The 21,401-nt window shown below is 35.3% G+C and overlaps 2 pseudogenes; both read left to right on the forward strand.

The window, feature by feature from the left end:
• Window positions 2,544-3,931, forward strand: PKP4P1 (plakophilin 4 pseudogene 1; annotated as a pseudogene).
• Window positions 5,416-5,853, forward strand: MEAF6P1 (MYST/Esa1-associated factor 6 pseudogene 1; annotated as a pseudogene).
• The last annotated feature ends 15,548 nt before the right edge of the window (window positions 5,854-21,401 follow it).

Consider the following 21,401-nt stretch of genomic DNA (forward strand, 5'->3'; position numbering starts at 1 on the left):
ACAAATATGATGATGTGTGCTTCCTGCTATTGAGGAATCTGCAGTGTGAATAATGATCTTATGGTCATTGCATTGATCCATCCTATTATTTTGTAGTATGTGAGAACCGAGTGAGGCAGAAGGAGAAAAAAAAAGCATTGATGGCAAGGCTACTATATTGTAAGTGCCCCCAATCTTACCCAGAGAACATTCTCTGACTTTTATTGACCAGTTGAGTCAAGAGCATCCCATCAGAGGTGGATAACATACTAAATCTCTAGTTATGAAATTCCAGATATTTCCAGTATCCTATTCTCACAAAAAGGCAAGCATCCATCATAGTTGAAATTCAGGTTTGTAACATGGATTAGAAAGAAGCTAAAATACTGAGTACTAATATTGCAAAGAGTAATCTTCTAAAACAATTTTGTGGGATTCAACATTGGGTTTTTTTTTTAGCTTTTAATTAAACCTAATTTGGTTGTGACATTTTGATAGATTCAGAGAATTTTCAGCCTTCCCACATTGATTCGCTATTCTACCCTTTTGACAGTGTGTTCTTCCCACACACAGAATTTCAGGCATAGAGGCCTCAGTTGAACAAATATAAGTAGTATCACACAACCTTCAATTTTACGTTTAAATACATTTAAAAATTATTAACTTTGAAATAATAAAAAAGTGAAAAAATTACGTTTCATTATGAAAGACAAGAACTCATTTAAGTCTTTGGGAAAAGTAAAACAAGTAGAAGAAAGAAAGAGAGGGGAAAGTGGGTTAAAAAAACACTTATTTAAAGAATTTTTTTTGAATTTCAGCTTTTATATTAGATCCAGGGGTACATGTGCAGGTTTGTTACCTGGGTATATTGCATGACACTGAGACTCAGGATATGAATGATTCCATCACCCAGGTGGTAACTATAGTACCCAGTAAGTAGTTTTTCAACCCTTTCTCCCCCTCCTCCCCTCTAGTATTCTCTAGTGTCTACTGTTCTCATCTTTATGTCATGTGTACTCACTGTGTAGCTCCCACTTATAAGTAAGAACAGGAAGTATGTGATTTTCTGTTTCTGCTTTAGTTCGCTTTGGATAATAGCCTCCAGCTGCATCCACGTGGCTGAAAAGGACACGCTTTCATTCTTTTTTACAGCTGTGTAGTATTCCATGGTGTATATGTACCATATTTTCTTTATCCAATCCACCATTAATAGGTACCTGGGTTGATTCCTTGTTTCTGCTATTGTCAATAGTACTGCAGTGAACACACAAGTACATGTGTCTTTTTGGGAGAATGATTTATTTTCATTTAGCTATATATCCAGTAATGGGATTGCTGAGTCAAATGGTAGTTCTGTTTTAAGTTCTTTGAGAAATCTCCAAACTGCTTTCCACAGTGGCTGAACTAATTTGTATTCCCATCAATAGTGTATAAGTGTCCCCTTTTCTCTACAGCCTGGCCAGTATGTTATTTTTTGCCTTTTGATTAATAGCCATTCTGACTGGTGTGAGATGGTATCTCACTGTGGTTTTGATTTGCATTTCTCCGATCACTAGTGATGTGAAACGCTTTTTCATGTTTGCTGGACACTTTTATGCCTTCTTTTGAGAAGTGTCTGTTCATGTAATTTGCCCACTTTTTAATGTGGTTATGTGTTTTCTGCTTGTTGAATTAAGTTCCTTATAGATAATGGATATTAGACCTTTGTCAGATGCACAGTTTGTGAATATTTTCTTTCCTTCTGAAGGGTATCTGTTTAACTCTATCAGTAGTTTATTTTGCTGTGCAGAAGCTTTTTAGTTGAATAAGGTCCCACTTGTCAATTTTTGTTTTTGTTGCAATTGCTTTTGAAGACTTAGTTATAAATTCTCTAAGAACTTTTAATGGTTTTTATATGTCTCTGTTATGGTTTCATCCACTTTCATTCTAGTCTTGTTTTCTAACCAGTTATCTTCAAACATGTTTAGAATTCTTTAGAAAGGGGAATATAGTTGTCACCCAACTATTTTCCATTCAATTTTAGAATGATCCTAGGTCTAGAGAGTGATAAAAATAGAGTAATTTCTTATCCTCTGCACGTTTCTCAGAGAGCTAGTCCACCAGCCATCATATTTCAACCTTCACTTAAGTTATAGGCATGGTGGAATGTTCAGTCTCAAGAGTGATATATGAAATGCAAGAATAGATATGCTATAGTCTGAATGTGTCCCCAAAATCATGTGTTGAAATACAGTGGCCAATGTGAAAGCATTAAGAGATGTGGCCCTTAGGAGGTGAGTAAGTCATAAGGGCATAGCCTTCATGGGAAACAATGGCAAACTTGGAGTGACAGATCTATGCTTTTGAGGGAAGCTACCTGGAAGACACTCAGATGTATGGCAATATTACTCCTGACTGGGATCGGTATCTGACCAACCGAAAAAACTCCTATAGCAAAAATGATAGAAGGAACCAGAAGTTTAAGGAAGCTAAGCGGTTCTTCAGTAAATCCTCAGTTACCTCAGCAGCTGCATTAAGTGCATTGGCAGGAGTTCAGGACTAGCTCATTTAAAAGAGGGAGCCAGCAGTAGGTATTGGAAATCTACAAAGGATGTCCAGCCAATGAAGTACCCGTACATACCAAAGAAATAATTATGCTCTGAATACAACAGCTACCTATGCGGAGCCCTCCAGGCCCATACAATACCAAGTGCAATAGTGTAATTATAACAGGCTTCAGCACGCAGTGCCGGCTAATGATGGCACCACAAGATCCCCATCAATAGACAGCATTCAGAAGGACCCCAGCGAGTTTGCCTGGCGTGATCCTGAGTTGCCTGAGGTCATTCACATCCTTCAGCACCAGTTCCCATCTGTTCAGGCAAATGCAGCAGCCTACCTGCAGCACCTGTGGTTTGGTGACAACAACGTGAAGATGAAGGTGTGTAGGTTATGGGGAATCAAGCTTCTGGTTTACCTTTTGGGCCACAGAGTTTTGGAAGTTCAGAAGAATGCTTGTGATGCCCTTCGAAATCTCTTTTTCGGCAAGTCTACAGGTGAAAATAAAATAACAATGAAGGATGTTGGTGAGATATCTGCCTTGTTGTGACTGTTGAGAAAATCAATATTGATGCAGAAATAAGGGAGCTTGTTACAGGAGTTCTTTGGAATTTATCCTCACGTGATGCTGCAAAAATGACAATTATTCGAGATGTTCTCTCAACTTTAACAAACAATGTGATCGTTCCACATTCTGGATGGAATAACTCTTCTTTTGATGATGGCCATAAAATTAAATTTCAGACTTCACTAGTTCTGCGTAGTACAACAGGTTGCCTGAGGAACCTCAGCTCTGTGGGGTAAGAAGCTCGGAAGCAAATGCGGGCCTGTGAGGGGCTGGTGGACTCGCTGTTGCATGTAACCTACACGTGTATGAACACATCCGATTACGACAGCAAGATGGAGAATTGCGTGTGCACCCTGAGGAACCTGTCCTATTGGCTGGAGCTGCAGGTGCCCCAGGCCCAGTTACTGGGACTGAACGAATGGGATGACTTACTAGAAAAAGTTTCCCAGCGAAGACTCTGAGCCAACCTGCTGGGGGAAGAAAAAAGAAAAAGAAAAAGAGGACTCCACAAGAAGATCAATAGGATGAAGTCGGTCCTATCCCAGCACTGTCGAAGTCCCCCAAAGGGGCTGAGATGCTGTAGCACCCATCGGTGGTGAAGCTGTATCTGACTCTTTTAGCAGAAAGTTCCAACCCAGCCACCTTGGAAGGCTCTGCCGGATCTCTCCAGAACCTCTCTGCTGGCAACTGTAAGTTTTCAGGATATATCTGGGCAGCCATCCGAAAATAAAAGGGGCTCCCCATCCTTGTGGAACTTCTGAGAATGGATAACGATAGAGTTGTTTCTTCCATGGCAACTGCCTTGAGGAAGATGACACTAGATGTTCGCAACAAGGAGCTCATAGGCAAATACACCATGCAAGACCTGGTCAACCAGCTTCTCTGTGGCAATGGCCCCAGTATCTTGTCTGATGAGTCCATGCAGCCATCTGCTGTGCTCTGCACGAGGTCACCAGCAAAAACATGGAGAAAGCCAAAGCCCTGGCCAACTCGGGAGGCATAAAGAAACTAGTGAACATAACCAAAGGCAGGGGCGACAGATCATCTCTGAAAGTAGTGAAGGCAGTAGCCCAGGTCTTGAATACATTATGGCAATATCGGGACCTCTGGAGCATTTATAAAAAGGATGGGTGTAATCAGAACCATTTTATTACACCTGTGTCGACATTGGAGCAAGACTGATTCAAATCACATCCTTCCTTGTCTACCACCAACCAAAAGATGTCACCCATCATTCAGTCAGGCTCCAGCAAACCTTCACCAATTTACATCAGTTCATATTCCTCACCAGCAAGAGAACTAAATAGACAGCTACAGCATCAACAGCTGTATTATAGTCAAGATAACTCCAACAAAATAACTTTGATTCATACAGATTGTATTTGCAGTCTCCTCATAGCTATGAAGACCCTTATTTTGATGACTGAGTTCACTTTCCAGCTTCTACTGATTAGTCAACAAGTATGGACTGAAATCGACCACAAATTATGTAGACTTTTATTCCATTAAACGACCTTCTTACAGAGCAGAACAGTACCCAGGATCCCCAGACTCATGGCTGCAGCATCAAGACACCCAACAGAAGAACTCTTTCTTTTTAACCTTGTTTGGATTGAGATGAAAAGTCCATCTTGCTGATTTGGTGATTGAAATGTGAAAGTGACGTGGAAGGAAAGAGTGAAGTGCATTTTTTTTCTTTTTTAAGGAATTATCAGGGAAGTGAGGAAACATTTGGGAGAGGACTTTCTAAGCTCTATTTAGGTGTTAGATCTAATTACTTGTAGATTCTGTAGTCTGGTGAAGGTGTGGGTGACGTGATGAGAGGTTTGAGAAATGGGTGAAATGAAATGGGGATGTGTAGATCAAATCAAATTAAAGATGATTTTTTAATGTAAATAAAGTCATGTTCTGATAGTTTGTACAGAAAAAATAAAATGATGCCCATGTTTTATTGCTATTACTAAATGTCAAGATTGTATGCTATTATGTCTTGTAAATTTCTTTTGTTGGTGTAAATATGGAAATGCCACATTGGTTAAGCGCCATCATTTGTAATGCAGTGTGTCACTTGAAGAGAGATTTGAAGAAACTGACAACTTCAAAAACAAATGGGAAGCCCAAGGAACTGTGAGAGATTAAAAACAAACTGCGACACCCTTTGTCTCCACCTTGCATAGTGTACTTTGGAAGCACAACGTCCAGGCTGGTACTGCAGTGCCATGCCCATTCCTTGCCTCGTTCATAGGACACTTCGCTGCCATTTTCTATGCACATGAAAGAAAAATAAAGGTGGAAATTTCAAAAAAAAGAAAGAAAGGAAGGAAGGAAGGAAAGAGGGAGCCAAGAAGTGGGATGGAAAGTGACATTCTCCAGACTTCCACAATCAGGAAAATGAGCCCAGCCAGGAGGACCCTGAGGATCTGGGTGGATCTGTGCAGGGAATGAAACCTCAGAAGGCTGCTTCCTCTACTTCCTCAGGGAGTCACCACAGCAGCCATAAAAAGTGAAAGAATAAAAAACCGACACAGGATTGATCTGAAGTTAAACAAAAAACCATGAGCTGACTATTAGAAGATACATTAGTGCAGAAGTTTCCAGGCTGTAGAGCCCTGCTTCCCTTCTCTGGCCTCACAAAGATAAACATCCTTCACCTGAGTTCGTGGCCATCCACCTCTGCTCTCCCAGACCCAGTGCCTGTGACTTTGAGTAGTTTGTTCTAAATGTGGTGACAAACAAGTCATTTCCATAATACATTGGATCATTTACTTTATGTCACTTTTAGTAACAGAACTGCAGGAAGATCAAGACATATATAATCCCAGGAAGTTGCTAACTGTACATTTCTCCCTTCTTAGGATGAATGTCTCCCCCTAAAGTGGCTGGTACCAGCTTCATCTGTGATATGCATCAAGAAATGTTCTCTGGTTTTGTTTTATGCTGAAAGTAGAACACAAGTTACATTTCAGATGAAGGCTATAAATATCTGGCATTTTCTTATATTGCTTTGTGTTTTCTTATTTTTCTCTTGTTTTATCACCTTATTTTCTTTGGGGTCTTTTTGTAATGCCTTTGTACAGCTCATACCTTCCTGCTGACATATCTGATCATCTCTTTCATGCAGTTCCCAATATTCACAACTGAAAATAATCTGGTTTATCATAAGTAAAATGGGAAACTCGGCTCTTTGTTTTTTTGCAAGGGAAGTATTTAGTAATTACCTATCTTAAATCTTTCTGAGTTGGAAGCAGATTCATGTTCAAGGAACAGGAAAAATGGAAAAATATGTTTAAATCAATCATTTTTAAATAGCTATTTTTATTCTTTTGTATAAATAAAATTTCACAGACTTTGGAAAAAAAAAAGAAAGCAAAGACCAAACCTTCACCAAGCACTGAAACTGCTAGCACATTGACCTCGAACTTCTAGCCTTTAGAAGAGTGAGAAATAATTTTTTTCAAACTTATTTATGTATTTCATCTATTTATTTAGATAAAATTTTATGTATTTGTTTTATATAACATAATGATTTGAAGTATATATACATAGTGAAATAGCCAAATCTAGCTAATTAAATATGGATTACCTCAAATAATCATTTTTGTAGTAAGTACACTTAATATCCACTCTGATGTGATTATGTATTTTAAGAATACACCATATCATAATTAACTCTAGTCCGCATGCTGTTTAATAGATCCCGTGAACTTATTCCTTTTATTGAACTATAATTTTGTATCCGTTGACTAACATCTCCCCAACTGCCCCTTCTCCCCACCAACACACAACAGCTCAGCCTCTGGTAACCACCATCCTACTCTCTATTTCTATGAGATCAACTTTTTAAGATTCCACATATGAGTGAATTGTGAGGTGTTTGTCTTCCTATGTCTGACTTATTTCACCTAACATAATGTCCTCTAGGTTCACCCATGTTATTTTAAATAGCAGGATTTCCTTCTTATTTATGGCTTAATAGTATTCCATTGTGTATACATATCATACTTTATTTATTTGCTGATGGACACTTCAGGCTGATTCCATATCCTTTTGTGAATAGTGCTGCAATAAACATTGGAGTGCAGATATCACTTCAACGTACTGATTTCATTTCCTTTGGATACATACCCCGTAGTGAGAGAACTGGATTATACAGTAGTTTTATTTTAATTTTTTGAGGAACCTGCACACTGCTTTCCATAATGGCGAATAATGTTCCCTTAATTCCACAGTTTCATCAACATTTGTTATCTTTTGTCTTTTTTTAATGCCCATTCTAACAGGTCTCAGATGATATCTTGTGGTTTTGATTTGTTTTCCCTGATGATTAGTGATGCTGAATATTTTTGCATGTATCTGTTGGTCATTTATACGTCTTCTTCTGAGAAATGTCTACTCAGGTTTTTTGCCCATTTTAATATCAGGTGATTTTTTTTCTTGATATTAAGTTGAGCTCCTTACATACTTTAGACATTAACCCTTATCAGATGTATAGCTTGCAAACATTTTCTCCTATTCTATAGATTGTCTTTTCACTCTGTTGACTGCTTCCTTTGCTTTGCGGAATTTTAGTTTGCTATAATCCTATTTGTGTATTTTTGTTTGGGCTGCCTATGCTTTGGAGAACATATCCAAAAGTCATTTCCTAGACAAATATCCTGAAGCATTTCCCCTATACTTGCCTATGTAAAAGCCTTACATTTAAGGCTTTAATTAATTTTGAGTTAATTTTTTAATATGGTGTGAGATAAGGGTCTAATTTCTTTCTTCTGCATATGCATACCCCATTTTCCCAACACCATTTATTGAAGAGACTCAATCTATGAAGACTGTATTCAGAAAGCAGTATAGATCCCAAAAACAAGTTCAAGATAAGAAGCATTTTATTCCATTGGAAAGATGTCAGAAATGGCCCTCAAGATGTTTCATGGAGAGAGCTGCAGATTTAACATTTCCCTGTTTGTATACTAAGGTATAAAGTCAGCAAAATGCTTCATGAAAAAAAAATCCATGACAAATACTAGGAAAGATTCTATTGCTGTAAACCAGTCTCACACTGGATAACTCTTTAAAGGGTGATGATAAAGTAACTTCTTTCCATGCTGTTGTTAAATCTCAATTCAGATTTTGTTAAATTTCAATCAAGTTCATACTTTTTTATTCCTGCTGACTTTCTTATTTTTCTAGTGCTATTTTATTAATGCTATTTTTTCTTGGGAAAGATACAAATTGAAGATGTCATGCTTCTGTTGCCTATCTTGAAAGGTATATAACTGTATCCGCTATCATTATATTTACACAAAACCAAAGAAATAAACAAATCACTTGTAAGAATTTCTAATTCAACTCAATTCAATTCAATGACAATAATATTGTGAGATTCACAGTCCCATTTGTTCTGTCTTTTCCCTTTAAAATAGTTTTTGCATTGGACAGAAACATTATTATTATAGGGAAAATAGCCAAAAAGTAAAACCAAAACATTAGCCCAATGTATTGCCAGAACATTTAAAGAGATGGTGGCCTTGAAGTTTTGTACTTCAATTCCAGGTGGCTTAACTATCTATACAAGAAGGGCAAAATTATAAAGATTTTAGATAATAATATAGCAGAATATCTCCATGATATCCCTCTTCTTTCAAGGGAATGAAATAATTTATTAAACAAGACACATAACACCAATAGGTAAGATTCTCAAATTCACATTTATAAACTTATTTTCGTCAAAATACATCATAAGAGTTTCTTTAAAAGTTAAACATACACTTATTATATGATCCAGCAATTCCACTTCTAGGTCTTTATCCCAGAATATTGAAAACATATGGTATTGTTCACACAAACCTATAAATTAATATTTGTAGGATCATTATTTGCAATCATCAATATTGAAAATAATCTAAATGTCCTTCAAGTGAATTGGTCAACCCACCATGATACACCCATCCAATGGAATACTACTCAGCAATTTAAAAGAATGAATTATTGATACACACAACATGGATGAATCTCAAATACATTCTGTTGCCTGAAAGAAACCAAACCCAAAGAAGTTGTCTATAGATGATTCCACTTATATGACATTCTGGAAAAGGCACACATATAAAAACAGGAAATATATCAGCAGTTTACCAGGGTTAGAGGTGGAAGAAGGGTCTGAACACAAAAGGGTAGCATGATGGAATTCTTTGTGATACTAGAATTGTTCTCTGTTGTGTCTGTAGTGGTAGCTACAAAAAACTATAAATGTTTAAAAATGCATAGAACTCTATTTCAGAAAGTGAATTTTACTTACTGGAATTTTTAAAATTAAAATAAATAAGATAGTATAAGAAAATGTATAGGCCACGTGCAGTGGCTCATGCCTGCAATCCCAGCACTTTGGGAGGCCTAGGCAGGTGGGTCACTTGAGGTCAGGAGTTCAAGACCAGCCTGGCCAACATGATGAAACCCCGTCTCTAATAATAACACAAACATTATCTGGGTGTGGTGGTGCATGCCTGTAATCCCAGTTACTTGGGTGGATAAGGCAGGAGAATTACTTGAACCCGGGAGGTGGAGGTGGCAGTGAGCTGAGATCGCGCCACTGCACTCCAGCCTGGTCGACAGAGCAAGACTCTGTCTCAAAAAAAGAAAAAAAGAAAATATACAAAGATAATATGCATATATACGAATATATATGGCATATGGAACCTAGAAAATACAGAAGAACTTACAAATAAGTAAGGAGAAATCATCTCAATAAAGAAATGGTCAAAGGCTTTGAAGAAATACAACATAGAACTGAAAGACCAAACAAACAAATGGCTAATAAAGGAAATGAGATGCTTGTATTCATTAGTATCCAGGAAAACAAAATTGCAATAGTTATCATTATACAGCAAGTGGGTTAAAATTTTAAAAGTCTTGTTTTACCAAGTGTTTGTAAAAATTGGAGGCAATAGAGTCTTGATACAATGGTAAGTGGAGTGTAAATTGTTACAATTGCTCTGTTAGCATTAGCAGCATTAGCTATCTGCCTATCAGTTTTAATACTACTAACATAAGCACCCAGGGAGATATGTACAGAAATGTTGACTATACCCCTAACTGAAAATAGTAACATGAAGAACTCATCTTGTAACTCAGTGGCTTCCAAATTTTTCAAACAGGGCCCATATGTAAGCAATACATTTCAGAGATATTGTCAGTACTCACCCCCACTCTTGGAGTGGTTTAAGAAGGGCAAATGAGATGTGGAGAAATTTTCTGGCCACTTCTTGGAAAGTTTTCCTTCACGTCCAAGAAAGAGCCACAAGTAGGGCTGGACAATATAATGCCTTTGGACCCTGTTGTATCAGGCTATGATGCCTGGAGCTGCTGCAGCCATCCTCCAATCCATGTGAGGAAAAAATTTCCATTAAGAATGGCATAGCCTAGGGATAGAAAGAATCTGGGTTCTTGATGCCCTTCTTGGTCCCTTTTTATCAATAAATCCCTAAGTCTGCCCTACCTTTGGGCTTGTTTATTTCTTCAGCCACATTGGATCTGAGTTTCATTCTCAGCAAACTAACACAGGAACAGAAAACCAAATACCTCATTGTTCTCACTCATAAGTGGGAGTTGAACAATGAGAACACATGGACATGAGGAGGGGAACATAACACAACAGGACCTGTTAGAGGGGGTGGGGGGCTAGGGGAGGGATAGCATTAGGAGAAATACCTAATGTAGATGACAGGTTGATGGGTGCAGCAAACCACCATGGCGCATGTATACCTATGTAACAAACCTGCACATTCTGTACATGTATCCCAGAACTTAAAGTACAATTTTAAAAAATGTAAAAAAACCCAGTTTATTTTTCTTGAAATAAAACTCTCCAAACTGCTACAAACTGAACAAACTGTCAGCCCTAGTTTTGTTCATGTACATAATGTCCTTCTAGGCAATAATTTGTTACTATATATCTGATCAGAATATCAGGGCAAATTCTTTAAGACAGATACCTCCACTTCCCATACAAGGACATAATGCATTTAAATATATAGTTTATTTCTCATATTATTTTTAGTCTTAAGAAATTACAGAAGTCTCTATTGTTATTCTTGAAGGTATATATTACAAAACCTTTTAGCAATACTATCCTATATATACAAAAATGCTAGACTAACATAGGTCTTGCCTTTTATTTTCTAAAAAGAAATATATTTTATATAAATAATCTAGGTTACTACATAAAAGATTACAAATTATATATAATCCAAAAAATTCAGATATAACCATTTTTAGTATTTTGTTTTATTTACTTCCAAGAATTTTAAGAACCTATAAGTACATATTTTTACCCCCAAAATGGAACTATATGATGCAAATCCCTCAAGAATTTGCTTTTTAAACTTACCAGTATATTGGGGAATCTTTCCAATCACATCATACTTCTTTAACTGTCTGACTGATCTGGAACTATATAAAAAATGTCTTTGGATAATTTTAACTAATGTGCATTGCAGAAAAAAGTAAGTCACTGACCCAGAAACATAGGAAATTATCAGGACTTCTCCATTTACACTAGGCAACTCAAAAATCAGTGCTAAAAGAGAACATATGAATGAGGCTATTGATTAGACAACCTTTAAAAAAATAATTCTAGAAGCATCGTTCATTACTCAAACCAGAAAGACATAAGCCATGTTCTGATTTTATCTTTATAATTAATTTGTAACATATGTTTATGTTTACATTTTTCACTTTAATTCTGTCAGTTTTTGGCCAGGCTATACAAAATGAGGATGATTTTTTCTTATGTATAATACATTATAGGATATTAGTTTTGCCTGTATTCTTTTCTCTTCCATGTAACAGTGAAAACCTACTTACCGAGCTCTTCTGTTAAATGCTACCAAAAAGTATCAGTAGTCTTATTGGCTTTAGGCTAGATCTAGAAAAAATAATCTAGTTGGAATATTTACCGTGGAGACCAGCAGATACTGCCTTGCAATATTACCAAAGACCTGGTAAACACTGCTCTCACTCACGTACTTAGAGAAGCCCTAGAAATTAGTGTACTAAGAGAGCTATTGAAACTGAGGGAATGGAAAATACCCATATATATTTGGAGTAGTTTGGGCTTGATACAGTGTGTTTACTTGGAAAATTATTATATTGTATGCCTCAGGACTGATTGTGTTTTACATTGCTTTCAAATTCATTCCCTCTCTCTCACTCACTCTCTCTTTCATTGCAAAGTTCACTTCCATCCTCGGTTCATGGCCCATTTACATCATCAGCCTATGCAAGGTTTCCTTACCTTACTTGTTTATTCTCTTTTATTTCTATTTCTCAATCTCATCAAATTCCACCTATCCACTATAAATATCTAGAAATAATATGTCTAGGTTTTAGGATATAATTATTTTCAATGTGACAAAATTTTTAATTGAATGTGATTTAAGCATTAGCTAGAATACGAAATTTTCTGGGCTTTCTTTCTATATATCAGTATGCTCTAGCAAATTCTTTTTTTATTCTGATCAAAAAACACGTAACATAAATTTACCCTCTTAAGTTATAGTACAGTATTGTTAACTATATGCACATTGTTGTACAACAGATATCTAGAACTTTTCCATATTGTATGACTGAAATGCTATAGCTATTGTACAATCCTTCATTACCCCTTGCCCCAAGCCCTAGCAACCAGCATTCTACTTCTGTTTCTGTGTGTTTGATTACATTAGATAACTCATATATGTGAAATCATGCATTATTTGTCTTTTGTGGTTGGCTTTTTAAATTTAGCATAATGTTATCTGAGAAAAATATTCTCCTGCTGTTGAGTGGAATGTTCTATATGTGTATGATAGGTCCATTTGGTCTATACTATTGTTTAGGATTTCTATTTCCTTATTGATCATCTCACTAGTTATTCTATCCATTATTGAAAAAAGAGTATTGACATGTACTATTATTGTGTTACAGTCTTTTTTACCCTTCAATTTTGCCAATATTTACATCATATATTTGGGTGCTCTAAAGTTAGTTGCATACATTTTATAATTGCTGTGTTTTCTTAGTGAATTGACGCTTTTATTATACAATGTCCTTTTGTTGTCTCTTGCGATAGTTTTTGTCTTAAAGTCTATTTGGTTTGATGTACGTATTGCTAATCCTGATTTCTTTTGGTTATGATCTGCATTGAATATCCTTTTCCACTCTTTCACTTTCAGCCTATATGTGTCTTTACATCAAAAGTGAGTCTCTTCTTGACAACATATAATTGCATCTGGCATTTTTATCCATTCAACTACTCTATGTGTTTTGATCAGGAAGTGCTATGGTCTATATGAGTCATATGATGTGAAATAACCACAGATGTACAAGTGTGGAGCCAATTTGGTTCAATGTCAAATGCTGGATATGATAGCTTGTTCTGTCAAGCTCTTAAATACATGCATTGGTTATTGTCTGTCTATTCATTCATTAAAACAAATCTTCCAACTGACATCATCATTTGGCTCTCCTGGGCACTAACTTAGTTGGTATACATCTGGTCACCCTTCCACATCATTTACACAACCACCCACATCTTTGTACCCAGCTCTGAAATGGCACAGCTGCCTAATGAGATGACTCAGCAGGGCACTGAGTGAAAGTGGCCCTCTGGGTTCAACTGAAAACATGGAGGTTGCTCTGTGACTGTGGGCAAAGCCAGGAAAGCAAAGAATGCAAAAGATTTTATCCCCAGATATAATCCAGAAAAGTAATACTTCAATGCAGTCTTTTAGCTTCATGTCTTTCCACGTTTGCACTTGTTTAACCAATAATACTGTGAATCTCTCCTTAGACTGTTCTGTTGAAATGTTTTGACCTGGAAAATTACAAGGCTCAATTTTGCTCAGAAATCATCACTCCTATAAAACCTCTTTTTGACTTCTCGTGAGGTGAATTAGTCTTTCCTTCCACATTCCCATAACACTTTGTTCATGTATCTTTCCTGGCACATACCTCATTTACTCTAATGTTCTGAGTAGTTCTCTGTCTCTTCTGATAGATTGTGGGATCTTTAAAAGACATGAATAAAAACATGTCTTACTCACCTTTTACCTTTTCCTCTTGAGTATCTAGAACAGTATGTGTCACAATGAAGGTTCTCAATTAGTGAATCTGCTGCCCTTTGAGCACAGGTACTAGATAATTATATTTTAGCTTTTACAGCCTTTGTCTCGTTTCATCCAGACAAAAACTATGTGAAGATTCTATTTCAGATGATTAAAGTGGCTGAAAGATGGTAATTACTTGTCCAAAGTCAAAAAATAAGTGATAGAATCAGCTTTAAAATTTGCTCATTGTTATAATATTATATAATAAACAAAGGATGAATTTATACCAAATACATAAATAAAAAGTCATGTTTTCTCATTTAACACTCGACATCTAAATAAACTGAAAAAAAATCAGTAAGTTTTCTTTTCCGATGGATTTTGCGTTTTCTTTCATATATTCATCCACTCCTGCTAATTACCATTGCCTTGCCTCACAAAGACACTGACTTTTGAGATTTAAAAGACGTGTTAATTCTAATTTCTGTCTGATTCATTTCTTAACTTCTTCACATCTGTCTTGTTTAAAAATAAACTACTTGAATTAATTCATCATACCAGCATCAATTAAACCACTATATTCATGAAAGGAGTTATAATTGTCCTGCAGTAGTGGTTGTGGCAAGAGAGGAAGCAGAAGAAAGAAGTAGAGGAAGCTGGACTCTTTTTACCAACCCACTCTCCTGGGAACTAATCCATTCCCAAGAGTGATAACTCAGTCACTGCCCTGGCAGGCAGGCATGAATCTGTTCATGAGGGTTCTGCCCCCATGACTCAATCACCTCTCAGTAGGCCTCACCTCCCAACACTGCCTCTTGGGGATTACATCTCCATGTGAGTTTTGGCAGGGACAAATCAGACCCAAACCATAGCAGATGTAGTTCTACTTGTCTATTTTTGCTTTTGTTACTTGAGCTTTTGCTGTCATATCCAAGAAATCATTGCCAAGCCCAATGTCATGAAGCTTTTCCCATGTTTCCTTCTAGTAGTCTTACAGTTTCACTTCAGAATTATCATATGATCCAACAATCACAGAAGGAAATCACCACGATTCCTTTACATGAGGTATCTAAAATAGTCAAACTCATGAACAGAGAGCAGAATGGTAGTTGCCAAGGGCTGGGTGGAGGGAAAAATGGAAAATTGCTCTTTAACAGGTGTAAAGTTTTAGTCATGTTAGACGAATAAGTTCCAGAAATCTGCTATACAACATAGTGCCTATAGTTAACAATATGGTATTGTGCACTTCAAAAAATGTTAAGAGGTTAGATCTCAATTTTAAGTGTTCTCCTCACACTAGAACGAAAAAATAGAATTCTACAGGGAAAAAAAAAAGCTAGAAAAAAAATAGCCACAAAAGAGCCAAAATCATGCCTGCTTTAGATTCTTAACACTAAATTTTAAAAGACAAAGGATTCACCAGTTCAGAGTTTGATGACAAAGAAGTATGAGTCAATACTTCTATGCCAATCAGGTTGTCATTCATGAATAAACACAAGAACAATACCTCTACAGTATCCAAACATATCTGATTCATTCTTTCTTAAAACAATTGTTTACTATGTACACAAACTTCAAATAAATAAAAATAAAATTCTTCACAAACATGTGTGCTATAAGATTACCATTAGCATTAAATCCAGTTAAACATAAAATGAATTCCATTAAATAAATTTTGAAGATAATCCAAATGTGCTTTAATATCAGTGATGCCTGTTCAGGTATATAGTTGGATGTCAGGGGATGTGATATTATTTTGCAATTTCAAACTGAAAAATAAAAATATGTTAACATTTATACCTTTATCCAGAATCTGTTTTTGAGCCCCTTACTATGAATCTGTTCTAGTTTGATACGAGAGTACTTCAGCAAATATGCAAGCTAGTTTCTCTAAAATTGTTCCATATTTTATTTCTCACTTTTAAGAATGGAAGCCAGTTATCTTCTAAAATGAGAACTTCTTCAGTGTACTTTGATTTTCTCTTAGATTGTTTTAAGAAATAACTTAAGATGGATTTTTCTCTAGTCTTCAGATTAATCCTACCGGCACTTCAACAGCTGCCCTTCCTTCTGGATCCTGCAAGCCTAAATCCTAGTAATTAAAACTGGATGCCATCGTAATCTAAGAAAAGATCAGAAAAGCAAAATAAAAAACCAAGAGATTACCAACTAAACTAATTTAAGATGAAAATGTGCAAGTATACTGAACACTATATTATTTAATAGTATGAAATGTCTTGTTCTCAAACTGTTGATAATATTTTAAGAGACATAAGCATGCAAAAGTTGGTATATTTTTCTATTCAAACAACAGAGAATGATCAAGGACAATCAAGTGAAAATATTTTGAGAATCAGGTGACAGAAAATATATGTAGTTTTTATTTTCCTTTGAATTGCAGACACACTTTATGATTTAAAAATACAAGGAAATAAGGTCCAATGCAGCAAATATAAGTCACTCTTGTCTTTTTTTTTATTATTATAACCACACATGTATTAGAGTGATTCTGCAGAATATCTCTTGGTGACAAATCCATTTAGCCCTTTAATAAAAATGTATCAAATGGAATCCTGAGCAATGCTTTACACTGAATCTTTACACTGAATCTTGAGATTTAAAAGATGTGTTAATTCTAATTTCTGTCTGATTAATTTCTTAACTTCTTCACATCTGTCTTGTTTAAAAATAAACTACTTGAATTAATTCATCATACCATTTTCATATATTCTTCTATTTCCCTGCATCTTATCTTTCCAAATCCCTCCTTATTGGGTGCTTAGCATGTTGCAGTATGTAACACACATACAGTATGAGAAGGAGGAGGAAAAGAAAGAGAAAGAGAAAAAAGAAAGGAAAGAAAAAAGGGAAGGGAGAGTTTTAGAAGCTTTCTTTTATTGACATGAAAATGCAGTAAAACAACTAAAATGAACCATATTAATTGCTTTATGAGGTGGATTTATTTGAAGCTATAGATAACTAATATTATCTGTCTGGTATATTCTTTCCCCAAATATCAATTTGGCGATTTCTTTCATCTCCTTTAAGTTTTTGCTCAAATATTATTGTCTCAATGACGTCTACACTGGCCAACATATTTAAAAATCTAATCAACCCCTCACCCCCACACTCACACTGACTGGCACTCTGAATAATTTAACTTGAACTCTGATACTATTTTTTCATTTTCCTCTGAGACTTACTTAATATTAACACTGTATAATTGACTTATTTATTGTTTTTCTTGTTAATCGTCTCACCCTCACACACAACCAAAGTATAAGATTCATAAGTGCATATTACATGCTAAATACACATTTGTTCAGATTAAATAGAAATGAATTCAAAATAAGTTTGACTCATTGCCATCCAACATGGCCTTAGGTTTTAAGCTAAAGTAAATGCACAAAGTAAACACTAACTATATCTAAAATATTAATTTGCCTTTTTGAGGAATTTAGACAAATAAATAAGAGTCTTTATTTTTTTCTTTCAATAAGCCACTTCAGTGATAACAATGGCAAAAGTAAAGAAACCTTATAAGACAATTATCAGGGATAAATTACAGTGGACATTTATTCTAGATGAAAATTTTAAAGCAAATCACATGGTATTAATGAAACATTCAAGAACAATATTTTTATTGTTTTACTGAGTTAGTTAATACACCCAAAAGGTATTGAATAACTACTTTTTTTAAGTTAAGATTTGTAATAGGTAATATTTCAAAAATCAGAATATATAAATATAAATATATATGTAAATTTAGAATGCTTTATTCCATTTGCGTTCCTGTCTACCTCTTTAGCTCGGTCTCAGATAGGTAACTTATTTTATTAGTTTTAAAAATGTATTCACTTATTGTCTTTTAGTTGTACACATTCACATGAAAATACATATTCTTAATTTCCATTACCTTTATTTAAAAAGATACAGTACATTATTATCAGTAAAGTACGATTTTTTATTTAACATTTTATTCTTTATTTTTTCCTCACATCCATACATAGATAACTCAGCTACCCAGGATCGCATTAGGTGGATAAACTGTAGTTTAATTAATGAATCCTTCATAACAAAGTACCTTGTCAACGCAAGTTAAAATTTATATTTTTGAGTGACTGACTTTGGCTTCCATAAATTTGAGATGTGAGAAATTGCATTATTTAATATTTTTTAGAGTCACATATAGATACCTATTTTTCACCCAACACAAGTACGAAAATAAAACTTTAAAAGATACTGATTGTCCTTGCAGAAACTGTAATATTCTCTGTTAGAAGGGCTCTCTGCTGTAAGGAAGGTAACATATTGACACATACTGAGTGAATATAAACTGGGCAATGATTCACAGGCTATAAATCTATTAGATTCCACCTTTCCTTCTCAGTTTTTGACGTTTGGGGATTATCTCAGCAATCTTCTTCCTTATGGGAAATACAATTTATCTCTCTACAGTGTCTCTAAAAATACTGAGATTCCATTATACAATTCTATTAATAACATTGTAACACAGTTGTGTTTAGAAGTAGATCAAACCCAGTTTTATCTTAAAACATGACATTATCTATTTGGTTATACATGAAAATATTTGATATTAGAGGAGCAACTGATATTCAGATATTATTCCAGGAAATGCTATCGATCCTTGTTTTTCATTAGTTCTTCAGTTGTCCTAGCTTTTCTCTCAACACTGGACTTACCACAGCCCAGTAACTGCCCTCTCCCTAGGATCCTGCTTTGGGATAGTTTTAAGATTTCACTCTGGCTTTATATACCTGAAGATAAGGGCAGAAAATCAAAACCATTTAATCTAATAAACCCTCAGCAGCTTTATTGCTGAACACTATTATTTCCATTTTCAGATTAAGAAAGTGAGAACCAGAAATACCATTCAACCTAGCAATCCCATTACTGGTTATATACCCAAAGGAATAGAAATCATTCTATTATAAAGATACATGCATTCATATGTTCATTGCAGCACTATTCACAATAGCAAAGACATGGAATCAACCCAAATGCCCCGTCAATGATAGACTGGATAAAGAAAATGTGGTACATATACACCATGGAATACTATGCACCCATAAAAAGTAACAAGATCATGTCCTTTGCAGGGACATGGATGGAGCTGGAAGCCATTATCCTCAGCAAACTAACACGGGAACAGAAAACCAAACATCACATGGCATGTTCTCACTTATAAGTGGGAGCTGAACAATGAGAACACATGGACACAGGGAGGGGAACAACACACAGTGGGGTCTGTGGAGGGGGGCAGGAGGGAAGGGAGAGCAGCAGGATAAAGAGCTAATGCATGCAGGGCTTAATACCTAGGTAATGGGTTGATAGGTGCAGCAAACCATTATGGCACATATTTACCTATGTAACAAACCCGCAAGACATATTAGTAAAAAGTTAAATACAGCAAAGATATACAGATTAGAAATATTTATCCTCCTAATAACAGACCATCAAAATATATGAAGTAAAAATGGACAAAATTGAGAGAAGAAGTAGAAAGGTCTAAATAATAGAAGCTTCAATACCTCACTCTCAATAAAGGATAAAATAACCACACAGAAGATAAGTAAGGAAATAGAGGGCTTGAACAACACAATAGACCAACTATTGGGCAGACTGTACAGATATATACAGTACACTCTACCCAAAAAAATAATAGAACATTCTCCTCAAATGCATATGGAACATTTTCCAGGATAGGCTATATGTTAGGCCATAAGTTGTCTTTATATATTTTTGAAAATACATGTCATACAAAGAATCTTCTCTGACCACAAGGAGACGAGGTTAGATATTGCTAACAGAAGGAAAAATAGAAAATTCTAATCTTTTAAACTACAAAACACCCTATCAATCACCAATAAATTACCAAACAAAACACAACATAAATTCTATGGTTTGAATGTATCTCCCCAAGTTCATATGTTGAAAACGTAATCCAATGCAACAGTGTTGAGAGGGGGGACTTTTAAGACGTGGTTATTGCTATTATTACAGGAGTGGTTTCTTTATTGTGAGAGTGGGTTATTTTAAAAAGAATGAATTTGGCCCACTTTTCTCTGTGTCTGTCTTGCCCATGTGATGCCTTCAACCATGTTATGACACAGCAAGAACCTCACCAGATGTCAGCTCCTCAATCCTGGAATTCTCAGTCCCCAGAATTTTAAGCCAATAAATTTTTGTTCATTATAAATTACTCAGTCTGTGGCTTTCTGTTATAGCAACACAAAACAAACTAAGACAGTATATTGTAAAATACTTAGAGGTGAATGAAAATGAAAACACAATATACCAAAACCTATGAGACACAGCGAAAGCAGTGCTATAAGGAAAATCTATAGCTAAAACTGCTTACATTTTAAAAACAGAAATATCTCAAATCAGCAACCTAATTTTACAAATTAAGGATCTAGGGGAAAAAAGAACAAACTAAACTCAAAGCTAGCAGAAGAAAATAAATAATCAAGATTAAAGCAGAGACAAACAAAATAGAGAAATAAAAGACAATAGAGAAAATAAAGAAAAATAAAAGTTGGATCTTTGAAAAAGATCAACAAAATTGACAAACGTTTAGCTAGACTAATAAAACAAAGACTCAAATTACAAAAATCAGAAATAAAAGTGGAAACATTACTTCTGATTCTCAAGAAAGAGATAGACTATAAAAGTACCATGAACAACCATATACCAACAAAGTAGATAGCCTAAATAAAATGGGCAAATTCCTAGAAATAAAAAAAACCTACAAAGACTAAATCATGATGAAATAAGAAAGCTGAATAGACCTGTTATACTGGTTATCAAAATCTCCCAAAAAAGAAAATCCCTGAACCTGATGGCTTCAATAGTAAATTCAATCAAACATATAAACAGGTACAAACACCATCCTTTTCAAACTTTTCCAAAACATTGGAGAGAACAGAACACTTCATAAGTCATTTTATGAGTCCATCATTGCCCTGACACCAAAGCCAGACAAAAACAGTACAAGAAAATAAAACTGCAGACAAATATGCCTTGTGAATATTGATGCAAAAATCCTCAACAAAATATTAGCTATCTGAATCCATCAGTATATTAAAAAAATTATATATCATGACCAAACAGAATCCATTCCTGATATGCAAGGATGATTTACCATACAAAAATCCATCAGTATAATACACCACGGTAACAGAATGGAGGAAGAAAACATGTCATCATCTCAACTA

The sequence above is a fragment of the Homo sapiens genome, chromosome 2, assembly GCF_000001405.40.
Source record: "Homo sapiens chromosome 2, GRCh38.p14 Primary Assembly".
NCBI lineage: Eukaryota > Metazoa > Chordata > Mammalia > Primates > Hominidae > Homo > Homo sapiens.